This window comes from Homo sapiens, chromosome 18 (genome assembly GCF_000001405.40).
Source record: "Homo sapiens chromosome 18, GRCh38.p14 Primary Assembly".
Taxonomy (NCBI): Eukaryota; Metazoa; Chordata; class Mammalia; order Primates; family Hominidae; genus Homo; species Homo sapiens.
The window spans coordinates 50,097,804-50,119,003 of NC_000018.10; the positions used below are offsets into that span (position 1 = coordinate 50,097,804).

General features: G+C 43.6%; 1 protein-coding gene across 1 annotated transcript in view, besides 2 other annotated features; it reads right to left on the reverse strand.

Annotated features, from left to right (window-relative positions):
• MYO5B (myosin VB) overlaps positions 1 to 21,200 on the reverse strand; it is a 372,359-nt gene that overhangs the window by 275,015 nt on the left and 76,144 nt on the right. The gene's annotated exons all lie outside the window — the stretch shown is intronic.
• Positions 1,991 to 3,190: an enhancer, noted in NCBI's record as "CDK7 strongly-dependent group 2 enhancer chr18:47626164-47627363 (GRCh37/hg19 assembly coordinates)". NCBI's record gives its function as "activates an origin of replication core promoter dependent on BRD2, BRD4, P300/CBP, MED14 and CDK7 cofactors, with strong dependence on CDK7, by STARR-seq in HCT116 cells {active_cell/tissue: HCT116}" and the evidence as "EXISTENCE:reporter gene assay evidence [ECO:0000049][PMID:35650434]".
• Positions 2,540 to 2,689: an enhancer, noted in NCBI's record as "active region_13311". NCBI's record gives its function as "activates an Ori minimal core promoter by ATAC-STARR-seq in GM12878 lymphoblastoid cells {active_cell/tissue: GM12878}" and the evidence as "EXISTENCE:reporter gene assay evidence [ECO:0000049][PMID:35858748]".

The window sequence follows — 21,200 nt, forward strand, 5'->3', positions numbered from 1 at the left end:
GCCAAAGGACCCACTGCCAACAAGGAAATGAGGGCAGTGGATCACACACCCTGGTGAAACTGAGGAGGAGCAGAGAATGAAACAGGAAACTGGAGACAGCATGACTTCAGACCAGCAAAGAAAAGTCACCACCCTGGAAACTAATGCTCTACCCTAAACAAAGAAACTACACACTGCTTTTTGCCAAAGAGGCTAGTGGTATGAGTCAGGAAAGGACAAGAATGACCAACTTCTCACACCCTGAACCACATTCAAAGTCTAAGCCAAGAGAGCACCTCTGGAAGTCAGAGTAAAGAATTCCCTTCGAAATAAAATATTTGCTTTAACATTTACTCCACAATATAACTTGCTTATATCCAACATCCTCCATCAAGCAGGTCAGTTTGTCTACTTACTTAGGGGTATACTTCAACAACAGTTAATACCAACAGATTCGTGGAAACACTATGTTACTTAAAATCAGGTTTTTTTTTATCTTATAGGTGTATTGTTCCAATTGTTTAAGGGGCAAGGTGTAAACTAGCAATCGTTGCTTTGGAGTTACAGGCTCCAAACTTAGTTGCCATGTTCTATGGATTCCAATGAAGTTATAACATTCATATTAGATGTCCTAAAGAGTCCCATCAAAATCAATACCAAAATATCTACTGGTTACTAGGCTGGCTGTGAGGAAGCAAATACACAACAAGGAAATAGACTGCCTTAACTTCAAGTAGCTTACAAACTACAACTTAGCTTTGAAAAGGTAAATGTCCAACTGTGTGGTACAGATTGGAAGCACAGTGGCATGGGGACTGGATTAACTGGGAAAGGCTTGCAGAGATGGTAGGATTTATGCAGAAGAAAAAGAAAGTCTTAGAAACAGAAATGAAATAACATAGATAACATGGACAATGTAGTAAGCTCCTCTGTATCATCAATGTAATGACTCCAATACATGCTCTTGGAGCATAAGCAATCCAGGTACCAACAGTGGTCAACTGAGCAGCTGGGAAAGAAACCTTCACCAAAGGACAGCAGTTCAGATGATGGAACCTCTGATCCTTGCAGTCCAGCTCCTGTAATCCCAGAAGAAAACCCTAAGGATGCCAAGGCCACCAGCTTCCTAGTCACCTCTGTCAACACCCAGCCCCACTGTCAAAGTTGTAAACCTTTATACTCCCCTGAATGAATCTGAAGAACAGATTAAAACGGCCTTTATATGAATGATCCAAGCACAACTACAAGAGCTGAATGAGTCTCAGCAACTGCTTAGAGGCTTCAAGCACAAGTTGCCTTTTTTTCTTTCCATTTAATTCATCTTCTGACCATGAATTCAATCCGCATCCAAGCTTGTCTCAATCTGGAGTTTCTTAAAGTCTGAGGATGCACATTTCCAACCTAAGACACAACAGTGTTCATATCTTTTGTACCTACTGTTCAGAATAAGAACAACTGATACAATAAAACCCAAAACACCTGAAACAAAAAAGGCATGTCAAGCAATAATGAGAAGTAGGTTTGGACAGGTAGAGTGGGACAGGATCATGGAGGCTTCTCAACACAGGCAGCTGTTTGATGTTCCAGAGTGGATAAGTGACACAGGAAGACTGTGCTTCAAGGATACTTAGCAACAGTGGGACACACAGTAGAGACTTAGGGAACAGGAGGAACAGAAGTCTAACAAGATGCCATGGTTCCTTCCACTCCCAAAAGCCTGGCTTAGATGCAAAGCCAGCCAGTCAGCCAGCCTTGTAAGTAAAACGTAGTTGATTCTTGGGGTTCTACTACCAACAGGCCACCACAGAACACAAGGATCTTACTCTAAGTGAGACATTCTCAATTAGGGGTGATTTGGGCCCCCAGGAAACATATGGCAAGGACTGGAGCTTTGAGCTGCTTTTAAGTGGTGGGGATGAAGTTCCACATAATTTCAGCAACCATCTTTACATGAATTTGCAGAATAGTTAGCTGAGAAATACACGGTATCTTGTACTTATGTTCCCCCTGTAAAGCCAACTGGCTTCGTTGATGCCAATGGGCACCTGACATTAGATATATAAACTTTATCCTCCACCAAAAGGGCTAAATATAGACTACTATTTACTAGGGCCCGTGTGTGCCTGCCATGGGTTCACTGGGCCAGTTCAGGACACTGGACATAGGACCAGGGCTCCACAGTCTACACACAGATTCTCAGTGTCCTAAAGCAACCTTCAGAGATTTACCTCCCACATCACTATAGGTGCCTTCCAAGCTCAGATCCAAGATACACAGCCAAGATATTTCAGCAACAACCTGGCTAGAAACCGGAAGAACACTATAAAGTCACATGCACATTGGTCCAATGACAGAAGGAAGGAGCTTATTTTCTTTTCTACATGAGCACATCTGTTTGGATATTCACTAGAGTAAATACTTAAATGACTAATTCACAGTTTCACTTTGTCATGGTTAAAGTATTTTATGAGACATCTGCTTCTGCTAAATCAGGATCTTGTTTCCTCCTGAGCTGTCACACTGAAGGCAGGAACATATGATGCTGGTTGTGTTGCACCAGCAAAAGCTTGAGAGAATAACCTTTTCAGACACAAGACTCCCAGCTTCCTTTGGTATCTGTGAAGCATCTATTACTGCAAGTCAACAGACCCACTGACCACAGGAAGACCTCAACTAGTGCACAGAATTATGCTTCAACTATATTCAAGTGAGAAACGGCCTGCATGGTATGGAGGGAAGGGAAGTTTTACCCCTCTGCCTACCACCCTCCCCACTTTCTACTTCTCTCCTCTTTCCCCAAAGCACATCGTACTGACTGGTCAGGGTCCAAGACATTACCTGGTACTAGCTGTTGCTCAGGCACAGTCACTGGGGGCCAAAAGCCACATACTATGCATGCATCTCCCCTCTCTTTTCCAGGTCTAGGGATCAGCAAACCAAACCAGAGCTGAAGATTCCTCCTAAAGCACTGGGCTCTTTCTCTGCTCTCTTCTTCTTGTCTTTGCTTTGCAAGGAACAATCAATCAGAGCATGGCAAGACCCCTAGATGCGGAAGTGGCTGAGGGAGAGCTGGAGCCAGCAGCATCACCCGAAACTGCAGTTTCCCACCCAGAACTCTGCTTTGGGAGGGACAGGGCTTGGGCCAATGAAAACCTAGAACTTCAGTTACTATTTGGCAATTGTTCCTTAAGAAGACCACAGGTCCGGGGAAGGGAAATGGGGAGGTATTGAACAATCAGTTACAAGATGAATAAGCTCCGTGGATCTAACCTACAGCATGGGGACAATAGTTCACAATAGCATACTGTATAGTTGAAGTTTGCTAAGAGGGTAGACCTTAAGTGTTCTCACCACAAAACAAATCCCCCAAAATGGTAACTATGTGAGGTGATAGATGACGAGTATGTGAATTAGCTTGATGATAATCATTCCGCAATGTATATGTACATCAAAGCATCAAGTTGTACACCTTAAGTGCCAATTTTGTCAACTGTACCTTGATAAAGCTACATGGAAGGGAAAAAGAAGGTCACAGGGAAGAGGGGTACTTAGTGAGGCACCAGCCAGGTATCCCTGAGTCCTGGACCATCATATTCCTGTATGGGGCCATCTTCTCTGTAAGTCCTAGGCATATTGATTGACACATATTAAAAAGAAAAAATAACTATAAAAATGCCTCACCTACAGAATGGGAGAAAATTTTTGCAATCTACCCATCTGACAAAGGTCTAATATCCAGAATCTACAAGAAACTTAAATTTACAAGAAAAAAAAACAGACAACTCCATCGAAAACTGGGAAAATGATATGGTACTTCTCAAAAGAAGACATATTTATGCAGCCAACAAACATAAAAAAGGCTCAACATCACGGATTAGCGAAATGCAAATCAAAACCACAATGAGATACCATCTCATGCAGATCAGAATGGTGATTATTAAAAAGTAAAGAAACAATAGATGCTGGTGAGGCTGTGGAGAAATAGGAATGCTTTTACACTGTTGATGGGAATGTAAATTAGTTCATTGTGGAAGAAAGTGTGGCAATTCCTCAAGGATCTAGAACCAGAAATACCATTTCACCCAGCAATCCCATTACTGGGTATATACCCAAAGGAATATAAATCATTTTACTATAAAGACACACACACGTATGTTTATTGTAGCACTATTTACAATAGCAAAGACATGGAACCAACTCAAATGCCCATTGATGATAGACTGGATTTAAAAAGTGTGGTACATATACACCACGGAATACTATGCAGCCATAAAAAGCAATGAGATCATGTCCTTGGGTGAAGGAAGGATTGCGTCCTTGGATGGTTCAAACTGGAAGCCATCATTCTCAGCACACTAACACAGGAGGAGAAAACCAAATACCACTTATTCTCACTCATAAGTGGGGGTTGAACAACTAGAACAGATGGACACAAGGAGGGGAACAACATACACTGAGAACTGTTGTGGGGCGAGGGGAGAGACGAGTTAATAGGTACACCGAACCACCATGGCACACCACATACTTATGTAACAAACCTGTACGTTCTGCATACATATCCTACCCAGAACTTAAAGAAAAAAAAAAGCCTCCAAATCTTAACTCTTAGAAAAGGAAGACAGATTGCTGGGAGGGAACTCACAGCAGGAATACGATCCAGGTGGAGAAAAGCCAGGTAAGGAACCTCCTCAATGGTCCAGCAACACACAGATCCAATGAAAAGCTAGAAATGCAAGAGTGGCTACAGATTAGGAATACTAATGCCAGACAAAGAGTTTCCACAATTAGCAAAATACCTCTGATGCAGGGTGAAGGCTGCTCCAACCCAGTCCTGCACAGCCCAGAAGAGAGAATCAGAACCTGGCTCTGGAGTATAGTCCCTAGACCAGGAGCAGCAGCACCTGCAAGCTTGTTAGAAATGCAGAATCTCTAACCTCAGAACCAATGAATTAAAAAAAAAAATCCCCAGTGTTCTACATGCACATTAAAATACTAGCCTGTCCCAAAACCCCCCAGGCCAAAGAATTAGATAATCCTGTACCAGCCCAAAGTTTCTCAAAGTCTTTTCCTTCCCCTCCCCAGCCTCAGCCCATAAGAGACTTTTCTGCCCTTTCCCAGGAGCAATGAAGAGGGAGTCCTTTTTTTTTTCTTCCCCAGGAACTCAGTCCTTCCCCCAAAGGAGAAGAGTAGCAAATCCAACAGATTGTATGTGATCAGTGAGTGGAAATGCAATGCTCTTGAAACAGGCTCTGCTCTCTCCTTCCCACTTCTCCCCTGCCCCGCCTGTCCTTGTTCTGACTGTGCTCATGGCTACAGGCTCACCTTGGGCTTCCAGCTCCTGTGGTTAACTAGCCAGGAGGCCCACTTTGTGGGCAAAGCTCTCTGGGCATTTTGGCAAAGCCATGACCTCAACAGTGGACCAAAAGGTCCTAAATTTGAGGGTAACTAGGTGCTGCCTAGCCATTCATTAAGCCACTATCTTAGTTTCCATTTCCAACCAGTTTTGTGTGGATTCTACCAACCTAAACTATGGAGGCTGGGAAGGGTAAAAGACACTCTATCCTGACCCTCCCTGGAAGTTAGAATGTATCTTACAATCTTGTGCTTGTTCAAAATCCCTACCTGGTGTGGGTTGGTTAAGTCTCAATCCATTTTTTTCTTTTCCTTTATAAAGATTCTGGTCAAGGCTGGGTATGTGGGCTCATGCCTGTAATATCAGCACTTTGGGAGGCCAAGGTGGAAGGATCACTCGAGGCCAGGAGTTCAAGAGCAGCTAGGCAACAAAGTGAGGCCCTATATCTAAAACAAATTTAAAAATCAGCCAGACACGGTGGTGTGCACCTGTGGCAGCTTCTGGGAAGGCTGAGAGGATGGCTTGAGCCCAGCAGTTTGGGGCTGCAGTGAGCTATGATTATACCACTGCACTCCAGCCCATGCAACAGAGCAAGACCTTGTCTCCTCATCTGCCCCCACCAAAACAAAAAACAGATTCCAAACACCTAGGAACTCTAACATCATACCACCAATCACTCTTTGAAACTTCATGGACTCTAAATAATAATTTGCCGTCAAGCACATGCAGTTCCAAATGGGTAGGGCAAGCATGCATCATCATCTGGGAACACAGTTTACAAATTATGTTAAATGTAACATAAGGATCACCTTCTTAGTTAAAAGTATCAGTTTTGAGGCAACACAGTGAGATCCCATCTCCATTAAAAAAAAAAAAAAAAATAGCCCGTGTAGTAGTGTGCACCTACAGTCCTAGCTACTCAGGAGGCTGAGGCAGGTGGATCTCTTGAGCCCAGGAGTTTGAGTTTACAGTGGTGAGCTATGATCATGCCACTGCACTCCAGCCTGGGCAACAGATGAGAACTTGTCTATTAAAAAGAAAAAAAAGAAAATTATACCTAGCGAGGAGGACATTAACAACTTTAAGGTGTCTTTGGCCAGAAATTTAAGATTCCTGGGGATCTATACATGATATATATATATATATATATATATATCTCATAAATCTCAAAAAAATTTAAAAAGGAACATCCTCATATTCTTTGAATAAAAATTCAAAAAAATTTACCAATTTTTAAAAAAATGTTTTTACTTAGTTTATGTCTCTACTGTGAAATATCTGATCATCTATTTGTGGTCATTAATTTATTCAATGAGGAAAATTTTACTTTAAATGACTAGTATTTTAGTTTAGAAGAAACATTTCTACAAAGATCATACAATTGTTCACTGTCATGATGATTCCTGTCTTTATTTGGGGATGAAGAGTAATGATTATAAGCATGGGCATCAGGAAAGACCTTCTTAGGTTTCCCACAACTATGTAACCAGTTCCTCGCAAATAATGACTAATGTACTTCATAGTAATGACAAGTTTCAGACCATGCGCTCTTACATTACAGCTAAGTTGATAATAATCTTTCATAGCCTTTTCCCTAAGTTTGAAATTGCTGGGTCCTAGGGGAAAATTCTTTTATCCAGGGAATGAACAGACATGGACCGCACAGGTAGCATCTGCCCCTTATTAACCTTGAAACTGGAAGTAGATGGACAAGAGATATCCCAGACCTGCCAAAATGCATAAACACCAGCAATCACAGAACTCCAAAGGCCAGAACAGCAACACTTGTGGGCTGGCTGGTGCTCAGATGGAAAAATTGGGATGGAGCACTCTGGAGACCACCAGGACTCAACCACCGGGAGGACTCCAGAGGGGGTACACGAGGACATCTAGGAGCAGGAAGTTAAGACTTGGCTTCTGGAGTTTTAGGAGAATGGTTTCCCTATTGACTGGGATACTTACAAAGGAAACCAAGGTAGGAATCAGACCAAGATGAGGCTGGAAGAAGAAAAAAGACCGGGACCAGTCACTAGCAGTCAGGGTGTAAGCAAGAGGTCAAGGCATGGTAAAAATAAATAAATAAATAAATAAATAAATAAATAAATAAATAAATAAAAAATAGATAAAATAGCTGCTGATGCTGGTACTGGAGCTGGGTGGACAGGCAGGATGACAGGATAGAGAGGGCTCCCCTTTATGTTGTTCAGAGTGATGTGAAAGCCAGGATGTCATTACCATCTGGAGTCTTAAACAATTACTTTCTACCAAACAAAACAGTGTAGCTATGAAGCAATGCTTCTTCCCTAACCTGTGAGCTCTGAACCAGGTTCACAGAATCCAACATGGGAAAACCGCACTCCACGACAGTCTCCTTAAGTTCCGTACTTCATGATTCCATTTGTGACCTTCTTAGAAGCGGAACTATAGTGATGGAGGACAGGTCAGTGGTTGCCAGGTTAAATAACTTTGTAAAAATTACTATGTTTGCAGGGTGCATTTCTTTTTTTTTTTCTTTTTTGCAGTGTGTATTTTTCTGCACACAGGTTTCGCCTGATTTCAAAGGAATACGAAACTCCCCAAAAAGGTTAAGAAAACCACTGCTCTAGAACATCAAAGCACAAGGCCTTGCATATGCCATTTGGAGTATGGAGCTGGGCTGGACAAATTAAGTAAAGACAAAAGCATGAAGTCACTCCTATGAGCACCACTACAGCCCTCCCAGCTCAGCACCTTCCAGTGTTTCTGGCACAAAAACAGAGCTCTTTGTTGACTCTCAAAGACTCACATAAACACATAAACAAGCCTCCTTTGTAGGCTGTCCACCCTACCCACCCTAGTCACCCTCTCCAGCTACTTTTTATAGAACCACCTCAAATTCATACTATTCAAGCCATAACTCATCCTCCCATCCTGCCCCTGCATCCTCCGCCTGCTCCCTTCCCTGCCTCAGAGAGTGGTACCATCCTCTTACTTGCCCAAAAATGCACCCTGGACATTGTCTTCACTTCCCCTCTACCTCGTTAATTCACCAAGCAGATCTCCCGATTCTCTCCCAAATCTGTTTGCTTTTCTCCATCCCCTCCACCACTGCCATCCCTGTCCAGGTCTCACCTTTTCTCACTAGGGTAAAACCCTGACCTTTGGTATGACCCCACATCAACGCATTCTCCTTACTGCAGCCAAAGTGATATTTCAAAAATGTAAATCAAATAATTTCCCTCCCTTGCTCAGAGCTCTTAGATGCCCTCCTCACTGTTCTTGGGACCCAAGTCCTAGTGTGTCAAAGGGGTCATCATCATCTGGCCTTCATCATCTGGCCCTGTCCAGAGGTTTCTGCCTACTAAGTTTAATCTCTTACCATTTTTACCTTGGAAATAAGGCTACTTTCATTTCCCTAAATGCTTCATGCTCTTATTGCTAGGCCTTTACAGTATCCTCCCTGTGCCTGGAATGCTCGCCCACCCTATTTCTCATTATCTGGCTATTCCTCTTCAGGTTTCACAGCCTGGATGTCACTTCCCCCAGGAAGTGCTTCCAACTCCCGAGGCCTGGGGCATGTGCCCCTCTGTGCCTCCCCTGACACAACCCTGCTAACTCCACATGTCAGACAATTCATCTGTGTCCCTGACAGACCCAGTCCGTGAAAGGCATCTTATTCACTGCTGTATCGTCAGTGTCTATTATAACAGGAACTCAAGGCTTGCCGATAGATAATTTGTGCCTTTGGTATGGCCACATAACTCTATGTCCCTCCCACCTCATAAAGAAAACCCTGGAGAAATAAATGCTCATTGACCAAGACCCACTCTGCTGCCTTCACTAAGGGAGGGTGCAAAGGGAGGAGAACATCTTGGCCTAAACAGCCAGACAATGAGGATTAGTTATGGGACCTCCAGCTGCCCTGACTCTGAATCATGGGCTAGACAGAGCTTGGAGATTGCCTGGTCCAGGGTTTCCTAATGCCTTAGGGTGCCTTTTTTTTTTTTTTTTTTTTTTTTTTTTTTGAGACAGTCTCCCTCTGTCACCCAGGTTGGAGTAGAGTGGCACGATCTCAGCTCACTGCAACTGCCACCTCCCAGGTGGCACTTGAAAGTGATTCTCCTGCCTCAGCCTCCCAAGTAGTTGGGACTACAGGCATGCGTCACCATGCCTGGTATTTTTAGTGGAGACAGGTTTTCACCATGTTAGCCAGGATGGTCTTGATCTCCTGACCTTGTGATATCCAGGGTGCTCTTGAAGAACTCCAAGATCCACCAACCACCAGAGAAATGAGGAGCTCAGATAAGACAGCTCCTCCCGCCACAACCAGGGGAGTTCTACCGTATTCTCACATCTTGAGCTTCAATTAAGATTGTGTTTCAGAGTTTTGCAACTTAAACTTAACAAGATCCCAGATTCCATTACCATCCCCTCAATTTACAGATGCAAAACTGAAACCCTAAGTTGTTAAGGGACTGGCTCCAGCCACACAGCCATTTCCTGCTAGAAACCAGCCTTGTGATTCCAGCACTGTTTCCGGTTTTCATGCCACACAGCACTACACATCTGTGGAGCAACAGAAAGAGGCAAAATACCCTAGTTAATCATTCTCTCACTGCTTTGTTGTATGTGTTTTTAAGTTGTATATGCTAACATTCACATAGCATACATGTACTTACAGTATAATTATTCAGAAGTGGACATCTGCATAACCATGCCCCCAAGAAGCCAAGGATACCACACCCTGAAGTCCCCAACTCCCATGTGACCCTCCCTCTAGAGCAAACCATTATCCTTTTTTGTTGTTGTTAAGACAGTCTCACCCTGTTACCCAGGCTGGATGGAGTGCAGTGGCGTGATCTTGGCTCACTACAACCTTCGCCTCCCAGGTTCAAGCAATTCTCATGCCTCAGCCTCCTGAGCAGCTGGGATTACAGGCATGCACCACCATGCCTGGCTAATTTTTGTATTTTTAGTAGAGATGGGGTTTCGCCATGTTGCCAGGCTGGTCTTGAACAACTGGCTTCAAGAGATCTGCCTACCCTGGCCTCCCAAAGTGCTGGGATTACAGGCATGAGCCATCATGCCCAGCCCATTATCCTGTCTCTTGAAATAACTCCTTTGCTTCTCTTATAATTTAACCACCTATGTAAGAATCTCTGACAAACAGCTGAGCTTTGTCTATAGTTGAACTTCACAGAAGTGTGTACTGTTTTATAGTTTGAGTCTTCTGCTCTGCATTAAGTGAGATATGTTCATGTCCCTATGTGTTGCCAGAGTCCATTCATTCGCGCTATTGTGTGCTATTCTAGTACATGAACAAACCACAATGTATTTGTTTTAAATATTGATGGTGTTTCTCCTATGTTTTTAACATCGAATCAGCTGAGTCCACACAATTTCAACATGATTGTACTGAAAATACCTGGGTACCCAGAGCAGAAACAGGCCAAGTTCTCCAGGCAGCCTAGACCGGCTACATGTTTCACAGAAGCCCAAGAACAGGAAACTATGCAGATGGACCCCCGACAAACATGCATCCTTGACAATCCACAGTGCCTCATAAGGAGGTATGCAGCAATTATCTCGGGTTCTAATAATAAGGCCTTGCTGTGTGCTGATAAACCAGAATCAGTAAAAAATATGTAGTAACTCTACTATTGAGGATACCAGGTATGTAGATAAAAACTGATTATCTTTCCCCAGCCAGCTCTGAAGTGTTCAAGTCTAACATGAGGCTATATGTGCTGCTTCCATTATACAGCTGGGCTAGCTGGGTGAGGCAACCCTTTCCTTTCCTCACACAAAATACAGTTCACCTGGCTTTGAATGACCCCACATGCTAAAACTGTCTTCTCTGAACCAGGCTCCAAGAAGAATAAAGTCACTGGGGTGATGATACCAAGACTAGCTAAATGGACCAGGACTAACTGAAAATTGGCACTGAGTGATTTTTAAAGCCCTAGAAACCCTATCTTCCCGTCCCACCACTTCCCCTATCCACAGCTTCCACCAAACTTCCACTGAAGAACCACGATAAGAAAGTTTCCAGTGTCAATACCCTAAGAGGGCAAATGGCAACTGAATCCCAGCCAAGACTAGAAGCTACATGACAGACCACATACCTTTCCAAGAAAATGGAATTTGTTACGGGACCAGCAGGAAAAACCATGAGTGCTAGGCACCCAAGCCGGGAGACAAGAAGACATAAATTATGAGAAATGCCCCCAGAAGAGTTCAGAGGTTCACAAAACATGCTCTGTCACCAACTTGTCAATCTTATCACAACTGGTCCGCTGGTCATGATTTTTCTTTTTTTTTTTTTTTTGAGACAAGAGTCTTGCTCTGTCGCCCAGGCTGGAGTGCAGTGGCGTGATCTCAGCTCACTGCAAGCTCCGCTTCCGGGGTTCATGCCATTCTCCTGCCTCAGCCTCCCAAGTAGCTGGGACTACAGGCGCCGCCACCATGCTTGGCTAATTTTTTTTGTATTTTTAGTAGAGACAGGGTCTCACCGCATTAGCCAGGATGGTCTCGATCTCCTGACGTTGTGATCCACCTGCCTCAGCCTCCCAAAGTGCTGGGATTACAGGCATGAGCCACCACGACCAGCGGTCATGATTTTTCAAAGGCAGCAGAACCAAGGTAGGCAAAGGCACCCTCATCCGGCCAACGGCAGCACCATGGTGAGCTACATACAATGCTCAGTATCCACCGCCCTCCATACTACAACATAAACACCCAAAGCAGGCCTAAAGCCATGTGAGAACAAGAACAAATCATGTCACTGCCCTGTTCAAAATCCTCCACGGGTTCCCCATCCCAGCGAAAGTCAAACCCTTGCAGCAGCCTCAAAGGCCCTACCCAGTCTGGCCTCTCTCACCTCTCTAACCTCATATCCTACCCTCTCTCCCCACTCCCTTCACTCAGCTCCAGCCATAGACTTCCTTGCTGTTCCTCAAAATCACCAGGCCTGCTGTGCCTCAGGCCTGGGCACCTGCTTTCCCTGTCTGGAATGTTCTTTTCCCAGATATCCACGCTGCTTCCTCCCTCAAATGCTTCAAGTGTTTGGCCAAACGTGAACTTCTCTGCATGGCCTCGAATTTCACCATCACCTCCCTCACCCCATTTCATGTCTCCTTTCTCTGCTTTATTTTCTTCTCCTGGCAACAACAGCATCTATGCCCTAAATACTTTATCCTGCTTATCTCCCTCACCATGAGATAAGCTCTCTGTGGCCTAAACCCTCCCACCTTCCTCCCTCATTTGCTCCAGGTATGCCCAGCAGCTGATAGGCACTCAAGGATTTGGAAGATAGTGCTTTCTCTCATTTTATACAAGAAGAAAGTGGGGTACTTGGTTGGCAAGATTAAGCACCTTGCCCAGTACACATTACTGAAAAGTACCAGAGCCAGGATCTGACCCTAGGTCTGTAGAGCTCCAAAGCAATGTTCTGAATCCCTCCTGCCTCTCCTCTTAAATGTGCTTTCTTTATCCCTGAGTGCATGTCACTGAAACTCACCAATCACACTCCATAAATGCAGAATGTTGAAGTATAGGGCCAACTGAGGACGGAAGTTAAGGAACCAAATTTTATTCATTAGTAAACAATTTCCAAATATGTCTGTAGCATGGATTAGCGAGAATGATGAGTTTAAGGGCTATAAACCACCTAGAAGATCTAGACAAGGTAGAGTATGAGTCTGTTAGAAAAATAAAAATAGAAGCATAAAAATTAGATAAAGGAGAAAGCAGGCAAACACCTACAGATTCAAAGAATGCCTTACTGAATACAAAACATATCAGAAGAAGATCCTGCAATCATAGTGTACCATAAACAGAGAGCAGCAGATAAAACTACTTTAAAATGTTCACAATGATAAGATTTCAACACCATTGAGATTTCTCTTCAGAAAGTCACTTAATTCCCCTCTCATAAGGTTAACGTTTTCATTCTTTGGTGGAGACTATATTAAGGAAATGGCAAATAGGCAAAAAAAGAAGAAAGGGATAATGCTCAGATTAGCTCAAAGATTACTAGAGTGGGAACAGAGGCTGTGTCAACTCAGTAATGTTGATGCCTTGGTAATTCAGAGGTATGTAATGAGGCCAGCACTGAGGGTTGCACTGCCATCATTTATAATCTGTAGCATTTTTTGCTAGTGTCAAAAAGTTAAACTGCAGTTATCTCACAGAAGTAAATTCTATTCATAAAACTACAAAATCTCTACTCTGCAAAGGGCACTGAATAGTAAATTATTTTGTTAGACAGTCACAGATTGAAAGATACACACCCATGTCAAGATTATAATTTAAACTAGTAGGCAGAAAAACAGATCCTTCTGGTTCTCATTCTCTTTGAAAGTTCTGGGGCAAATTCTCCAGATTGTATCTCTCATTCAAATACATGTTCCTTGGGTAAATTTAGATAAGACTGAATTCAAAAGAAACAGGCACCTGCTAAAACCCTATCTTCCTTAAGGGGTCAGTCATGAACTGAGATCTATAATGGTTATTGTTGCTTTTATTGCTGTATGTTTGCAGAACCTTTTGCAATTATAACCAGTAGTTATTAAGGTCCTTAAATTCTCTGCAGTTTATGCTGATAAAGGGATCTCATTAAGGTAAAATAAAACTACGTTTACTAACTGAACATTGGGACTGGAATTTCTAAGTCTTAGCCCTTTCATTCATTTCTTTGAACTTCTGAAGACTCTGCCTCTTATCAACTCATCCCCTCTTCCTATAAGGCACCTTGAGCACATGAGTCACCTGGAGACTTCAATGCACTGCACCTACTGAGTACCTACTATGTGCCAGGCAAGCTCTGAGCACTGGAGCAGAGAAGGAAGAGACAAGATCGCTGTACTAATGGAGGTCACATCCTAGTGGGGGAAACAGGCAAAACCAGATACAGAGACATCTGCTATGAAGAAAAGTAAATATGGTAAGGGGCTTGGAAACAACCCAAGTGGGCAAAGGAAGAGAGCTATATTAGATCGAGTAGTCAAAGAAAGCCTCTCTAAGGAAGTGGCAATGGAGAAGCAACAGGACAGAAACGAGAGAGCAAACCTCCTAAATATTGAGTAGGGAAAAAGTATAGTAAAGAGAATTGAAGCCCCACTCCTGAGAGATCTGGGCTACATCTAGGAATCCATAACTGTAGCGAACCAACAAAGCAACTGCATCACGGCTCCAAGGGGCTCCTTTTGAGAAACACTGCTATTAAGGATAAATATGGAATCCTCCGTACCCAACAATACTGGCCCATCAGAGCAGCAAAGCATCAACACCAAGACGTCCCCATCAAGAGGCAAAGGCAAGGCTCCTGCCGAGCCACCCACCCACCTGCCCACACCCAAATGGGGCTCCAAAGACGGCCGCATGGGACCCCCATGGCGCCTTAACCAGCTGAGCACCACCAGCCCTATCTGCCTTTGAGCATGCATTGTGCATGACACTTGAGACTGGTTATGCCCCACGAAAAACCTTTTTCTGTCTGCTCCAAGGCAACTCAGGCCCTTCTGGTACATACACAAGAAAACCCCCACTATATTAAGTCACTCCCTACTGGACTGAAGGTTTCTAAGCTGGTACACAGTAGCAGCTCAGTAACTGATGAATTATAATAAATAACAATGACTAATGACAGTAACATCCCTATTGTCAAAATGTTTGTGAAAATGAACCAATTTTCAGCAGTGTAACATCCAGTATAGCAGCTTTCTATTATACTTTCAACACAGCAACGTATTTTAAAAAAAATTGGGTCATTTATTTCAATAAGACATTTGTTAGCACAACACAGTCATTAAATCACAAACACACAATCCTGTCACCCACATTAAACTTTAAAATCATTCCACATAATGAAGGTTACATGGACGTTGAGTGCCTGCTTATAAATAACGCACAATTAGAACACTTTCTCATCTCCAAGAATTAATCGTTTTTCCCTGAGACCTGTTTCAAGTGTGCCTCAATTCCCTGCCCGTCCCCACCACCTACACTGCTGAGTGTGAGGAGGCATCTTCTGTAGTTTCCCATCCATTCTCAAAAAATATTTGCTCAGTACCTGTAGTCAGCATTGTTCTAAGTACCGGGCATAAAACAGTGAACAAAAAAGACAAAAAGGCTTCCCTGCCCTCAGGAAGCTTCGCATCCTAAAGCAGTATCAAGGGGTGCTTTGACATAAAACCAAAAGCCTTGCCTTCCCTCCCAAGAGTCACTGATGCCTCCCTGTGATGCTGTCGTGATCATTTTTGCCAGTTGCACTGTAGGGCTCACCATGGTTTGGAGGCAGATAACTACATTTCACATTTGTGTTAAGATGGGGGACAACTGAACGTTAGAGAAAACACATTGCTGGACCATGGAACACTGCTCTGATATGGTTTAATTATTAAAGTTAGGAAGCTGCTATCTCCTTTTCTTTATGCCTGAACATCAAGTGTGGCCTCGTAATTATCAGGCGCACGTACAAAATTGCAACTTATTTCTGTACATTAAAGAATGCTCCAAAAAGCATCAACTACACAAAGATAGGTACTGTGGGGCCCTGAAGGGTTGAAGTTAGTGTGAGGGTCTTTTCTCATGGCAGAGTCCATCAGTGAGAGCTGCTTAGAGGAGCCCCCTCTTACCCACTCCCCTTTCTGGCTTTGATTGTTATGCTCACCAGGAGTGACTCAGGCTGCTGTTCTTATCATCCAGGCATCTCAAATGCTATTTTAAAGTACATGGAAGTTTAGCTTTTGTCCAAAGCCTAAAGAGCTGCTACACCAATTGAAAAAGAGAACACACAATTAACTCATTTTATCGATTTCCCAAGTTAAGTTCTTAGACTGAACAAATGGGATCAGATTTCAAAAGATTAAACTTCCATCTCACAGCCCCATTTAGGGCATTAAAAATCTATCTGCCACCTGAGCTTGGCTTTGTGGTTCTTTGCCTCTTCTCTTTAAATCATGTTAGATTATTTCCTTTGGCTTAATGTCGGCCCTGTAAGGTAATAAGCAGTTGCAATGAGGAGATGGTATTATTTTACTGATGAGTAAACTGAGATGCCAGCCAGCAAAAGTTAAAAAGAAAAGAAAAAAATTAAAAAAGGTGGTAGAGGTAGAACTTTGTTTCTTTAAACTGCCGTGCTGTTATAATACTGAGTTTATGTTATGTAAATTTTGGAGAATGCACAGAAAGTCAAGTCATGGCTGGGCAAAGAAACAAAGGATGTGCCTGTCTCAACCATGGCCCAGAGCTTCAGCTTAAACTAACTCTCAGCCTATTCAAAGCCGCACTGACTCCTCCAAGCTAACCAAGGCTCCTCTTGGGAAAGGGTGCCCACACAATCCTCAAAGAACCCAGAGGTACAGCCCGGCTTCCCAGGATAGCTGCCTTCTAATTAAGAGGTAACTTAGGCCTTGGAGAGAATCACATTTATATAATAAAGTTACATAAACTGTTCCCAATTCAGACATTTGTCTGAGCTGGGCAAGCATGTTAAGTGTCAGCTGACTCCGTCAGAGCCTCGACACACGCTGCTCCAGACGGAACTTGGCAAAGAACTAGAGGACCAGAAATAAGAGTTCATCCTTCTACTTGAGTGGCCAGCACCGCTGCATCTAGGAGCAGAACAGCAATAAAAATGGAAGGGCAGGAAGTGTGGGGAAGACCAGTAATGCTGGTGTTACCTCCACAGGTGGAGCAGGTGTGGTGGTTGCCCCCTTGATAAAGCCCATGACAGGAGGCAGTGCTGCCCAAGACCTTGTTTATCTGTAGAACCCTCCTCCAGACCAAAGTTGGGTGAAGCCACATGGCAACTTGCCTCCTGCTTTCACACCCAGGAAGCTCCCAGTTGCTCCAAAGAACATTTTGAAAATCCAGACATAGCAGAGAACAGAGACGAAGCCAGAGGACAGCACCTTTCTGATTCCACAATTTGATGGTCCACTCAGTGCTGAATCTCAGTTTGCATCTGCCCACCACTTACACCTGTCCCCACACTGTGCCTTCCTCCTCTCTGCTCCATCATACCTGTCCCAGTCATGCCAACAGCTCTCCCAGGGATCCTGATCCCCAAGGTGGGCAGCCACCTGCACACTGTGTTAGGATACTCTCCAACAGCATCCCATGAGCATGTCTTAGCTCTTCAAACACACCACAAGGTCCTCTCCCCTACTCTTCACAATACTCAGACAGCAGTGAGCCCTTGGCTAATCTTCAGAAAGTGTCTATGGAATTCAATCTTACGGCTAGACTTCACTAGCCTTACATAACAGAAGTCAACAGTTATGCAACCCTCTCCCTTCCTGCAGAACTTGCATTCCTCACTTACCAAATTATGTACGGAGCACCTACCAGGGCCAGGTCTTGTGCTAGGCTCTAGAAAGTTGGTGGCCAGACAAAAATAAATAAAACACACACACACACACACAGAGAGACACACACACACACACACACACACACACACACACACAAACTGTCCCTATCCTCAGAGCTGACAGTTTACTAGTAAAGCTGATCAAATCCCCTTATGGTGGGAGTCTAATGATTAGTATGACTTCAGAATCTTACAGAATAGTCTAGAGCCACTTAATAACCAGCTCCAACATTTAAATCCCCATTACCGGATATCTGGCCTCATATGTTAGGGAATTCTTAAGGACAGTGTATGGGGAACAGTTTCTCTGGTCAGGATTCTGTGGGTATGTGGGAGGGGGGAGGGTAGTGGTAGGTAAAGTTCTGGATTTTTTTCATTGTTTAAAAAGGTAGCTGTTAATGGCTGCTTGCCTTCTACTTTTAAACGAACAGGTTTTGAATGTTTCCAGTTATCACTAATCATAGATGCATGAGGAAAGAAACTAACAATGCAACACCATGGGACCTTTACTCCCTAGCCTGTTACCTTTCCATCCCCCCATCTCTTCAGGGTGTAAGACACTAACCAAAATGGTTTTCCTAAAAGAAGGTTTAAAATGGATCACTAAACAAAATTAGGAAAAACTGAAAGTCTAAGACAGACTCCTAAGAGCAATCATGTCATCCCTATGACCCTAATAGACCAAAGTTTTCGGCCATGGGCATGGCTACTTATCTTTCACCATCATCCCCCTACGTGTGGCGATCCATGCCCACAACAGCCTTCTCTCTGCAGTATAGGCGGAGTACTTGAGGGATGGAGCAGCCTGATCACTAGTCAACAGTCATCACTTGGCACTCTGCAGTCAGTCTGTAGAAGAACTTCACTGTTACTAAATGAACACCTGGGAAGCAGGATGCTTGTTCCCCAAATCCAAAAGAGGAAAGCTCAGGCATGAGCTGAGAAGCAGTTCTGCCAATAAAGAAGATAGGCTTAACTTTGCCTACCCAAACTGGAATCATTCCCCTCTGTAGCAAGAGACAGCTTCAGATTTAAATCCAAAAAAAGAAAAAAAAACCTGCTGCATCTCTTGAGTTCTCCAATGTGCCAAGTTCTCAATTAACCCAATGGGACACAGAAGGTGAATAAGGCCGTTCCTAACCTCAGGTGGCTTAACCCTTGCTCTGGTTTGAACAGCTGTTCTCAAAGTGTGGTCCCTGGATCAGCCGCATAGCTTCACGGGGGAACTCGTCAGAAATGTACATTCTCAGGCCCCACCCAGACCCACTAAATCAGCAGTCTAGGGTATTCAGGAGTCTTTAACAAACCTTCTGGGCAATTCTGATACCCACTAAAGTCTGAGAACCACTGAGTTACCAAAAAAAAAAAAAACCAAAAAACAAAAACCACACACAACATCAACAATGAAGAATCAGCATCTGTGATGTCATTTAGCTATGAAGGTATTTCCTACATAAGACTCACATACCCAACTTTTTTGACAATGACACACTGTCACAGCACATAAGTACTATTAAGTACGTAGCAGCAATTGACATTTTGTTATGAGATAAACATTAACCCTATCTTCTTTGATAATAAGCAATCTCTGAATATTCATCTATATTTGGTAGCTCATTTCAAAAATGCCCTTTTTTGGTCAAGATACGATTATGTTCTTTGGTCCCAATTTGGGGTGATTAAAAAAAGCAACTTAGGTGAATATGAATATGACCAAGCCCCTATAAAAAAGGGCAGCAGTAAAATTTCTACAAATAAGTCTAGAGAGGAAACTTCAAATTCTCATTTAAAAAAAAAAATAGCATGCTCATGAATTCCAAACTCTATGGGTTTATTTCTTCAAGGCTCTTCCAGGAAGACCCAACATTCCACACCTTTGTAAAGCCTGTCTAAGGCCTGGAACAGCACTTCCAGCCCCATGAACAGATGAGGGACAGGCCTCCATGATCTCTAAGCACAGCAGAAGACATTAGTTATGGAATTTTCAAAGTTTAGATTATATCTTTCTATATACCATATCATCGCCCCCTTTCTCCCTGGGAGTCTTTCTTCCTCTCTAGAGGAAAAACTTGTAACTTACAAAATGGGAGAATTAGAATACCTACTTGTTCCTTAAATGCTCTAAAAGCCGAGAAAAAAAAAAGTGCATTAAGAAAACAGGGCCATTATTCTCTATCCATAGGTACCAGCAATTCCCAGCACAGCAGGAGAGAAAGAAAAGCTACAGGCAGACCCAAACAGCTTCCCAGCTTCGGCTCACAAATGGGAGTGATTTTGTTGCTAAAAACATCCCTCCTCTCTCAGACCCCTCAGGCCTGAGCCCATAGAAGAGGTCTCTGGCTTATATAATACCACCACCACATAGTACGCCATGCTTGGGTCCAGGGGCTCACGATCTGGCTTTACACAGTAAGCACTTACTGTATGAAAGGAGCAAAGTCAGTGCTGGGCAGTCCCATCTCCTCCTGAAACTGTGCTCCTGCACTGCCAGATTTCACATGGAAGTGAAAGGATAATAAATTCAAGTGGATGACAGCCATACATTACCACCGGCCTGATGAAAATGGCCTTTTTATTAGTGACTCAGCCTCCTTCACTCAATGCAATCAAGCAAATGTTTGCCAAATGATTGCAACTCAGTAGGATACAACTGCCCATCCACCCGCCCCCAACTAAACCCTGAGACCAGCTAGCATGACTGTCTCAGTTTGCCCAGAACTTCCCTGGCTCAGCAACAAAAGGCTGGCAAACTAGGATGGTTGGTCACCATAGGACCAGCAGACCTATGGCTGCCGCTGCAGAAAAACAAATCTTAGATAGGACCGCATGTGTCCAACCTGAAGCCCAATGAGAGTTGCAGAAAGAGGTTGTCACAGCCTTTAGTAACTTAAAGTCAGTGTCTTTCTGGTGAAGAGCACTCAATTAAGAGCTAGAAGCCTAGGTTAGTAGTTCATATGCATGCCCAAATTTGACAGTCTCCTGAAGGGCTTAACTACAGCACAGAGTGCTGATCCCCAGGTCTGGTGTGGGACTCAATTTGCATTTCTTTTTTTATTATTATTATACTTTAAGTTTTAGGGTACATGTGCACAACGTGCAGGTTTGTTACATATGTATACATGTGCCATGTTGGCATTTCTTTTTTTTTTTTTTTTGAGACGGAGTCTCGCTTTGTCGCCCAGGCTGGAGTGCAGTGGCGCGATCTCGGCTCACTGCAAGCTCCGCCTCCAGGGTTCACGCCATTCTCCTGCCTCAGCCTCCTGAGTAGCTGGGACTACAGGCGCCCGCCACTATGCCTGGCTAATTTTTTGTATTTTTAGTAGAGATGGGGTTTCGCCGCGTTAGCCAGGACATGTTGGCATTTCTAACAAGCTCCCAGGTGCTACTGTTTGTTGCTAGTCACAGACCACACTAAGAGTAGTACCAGCTTAGACCACGGCTCACCTATAACCAACTGAGAAAACCTGAGTCAACTATCAACCTTCCTGGGAAGCCATTTAACCTCTCTGGTCTTGT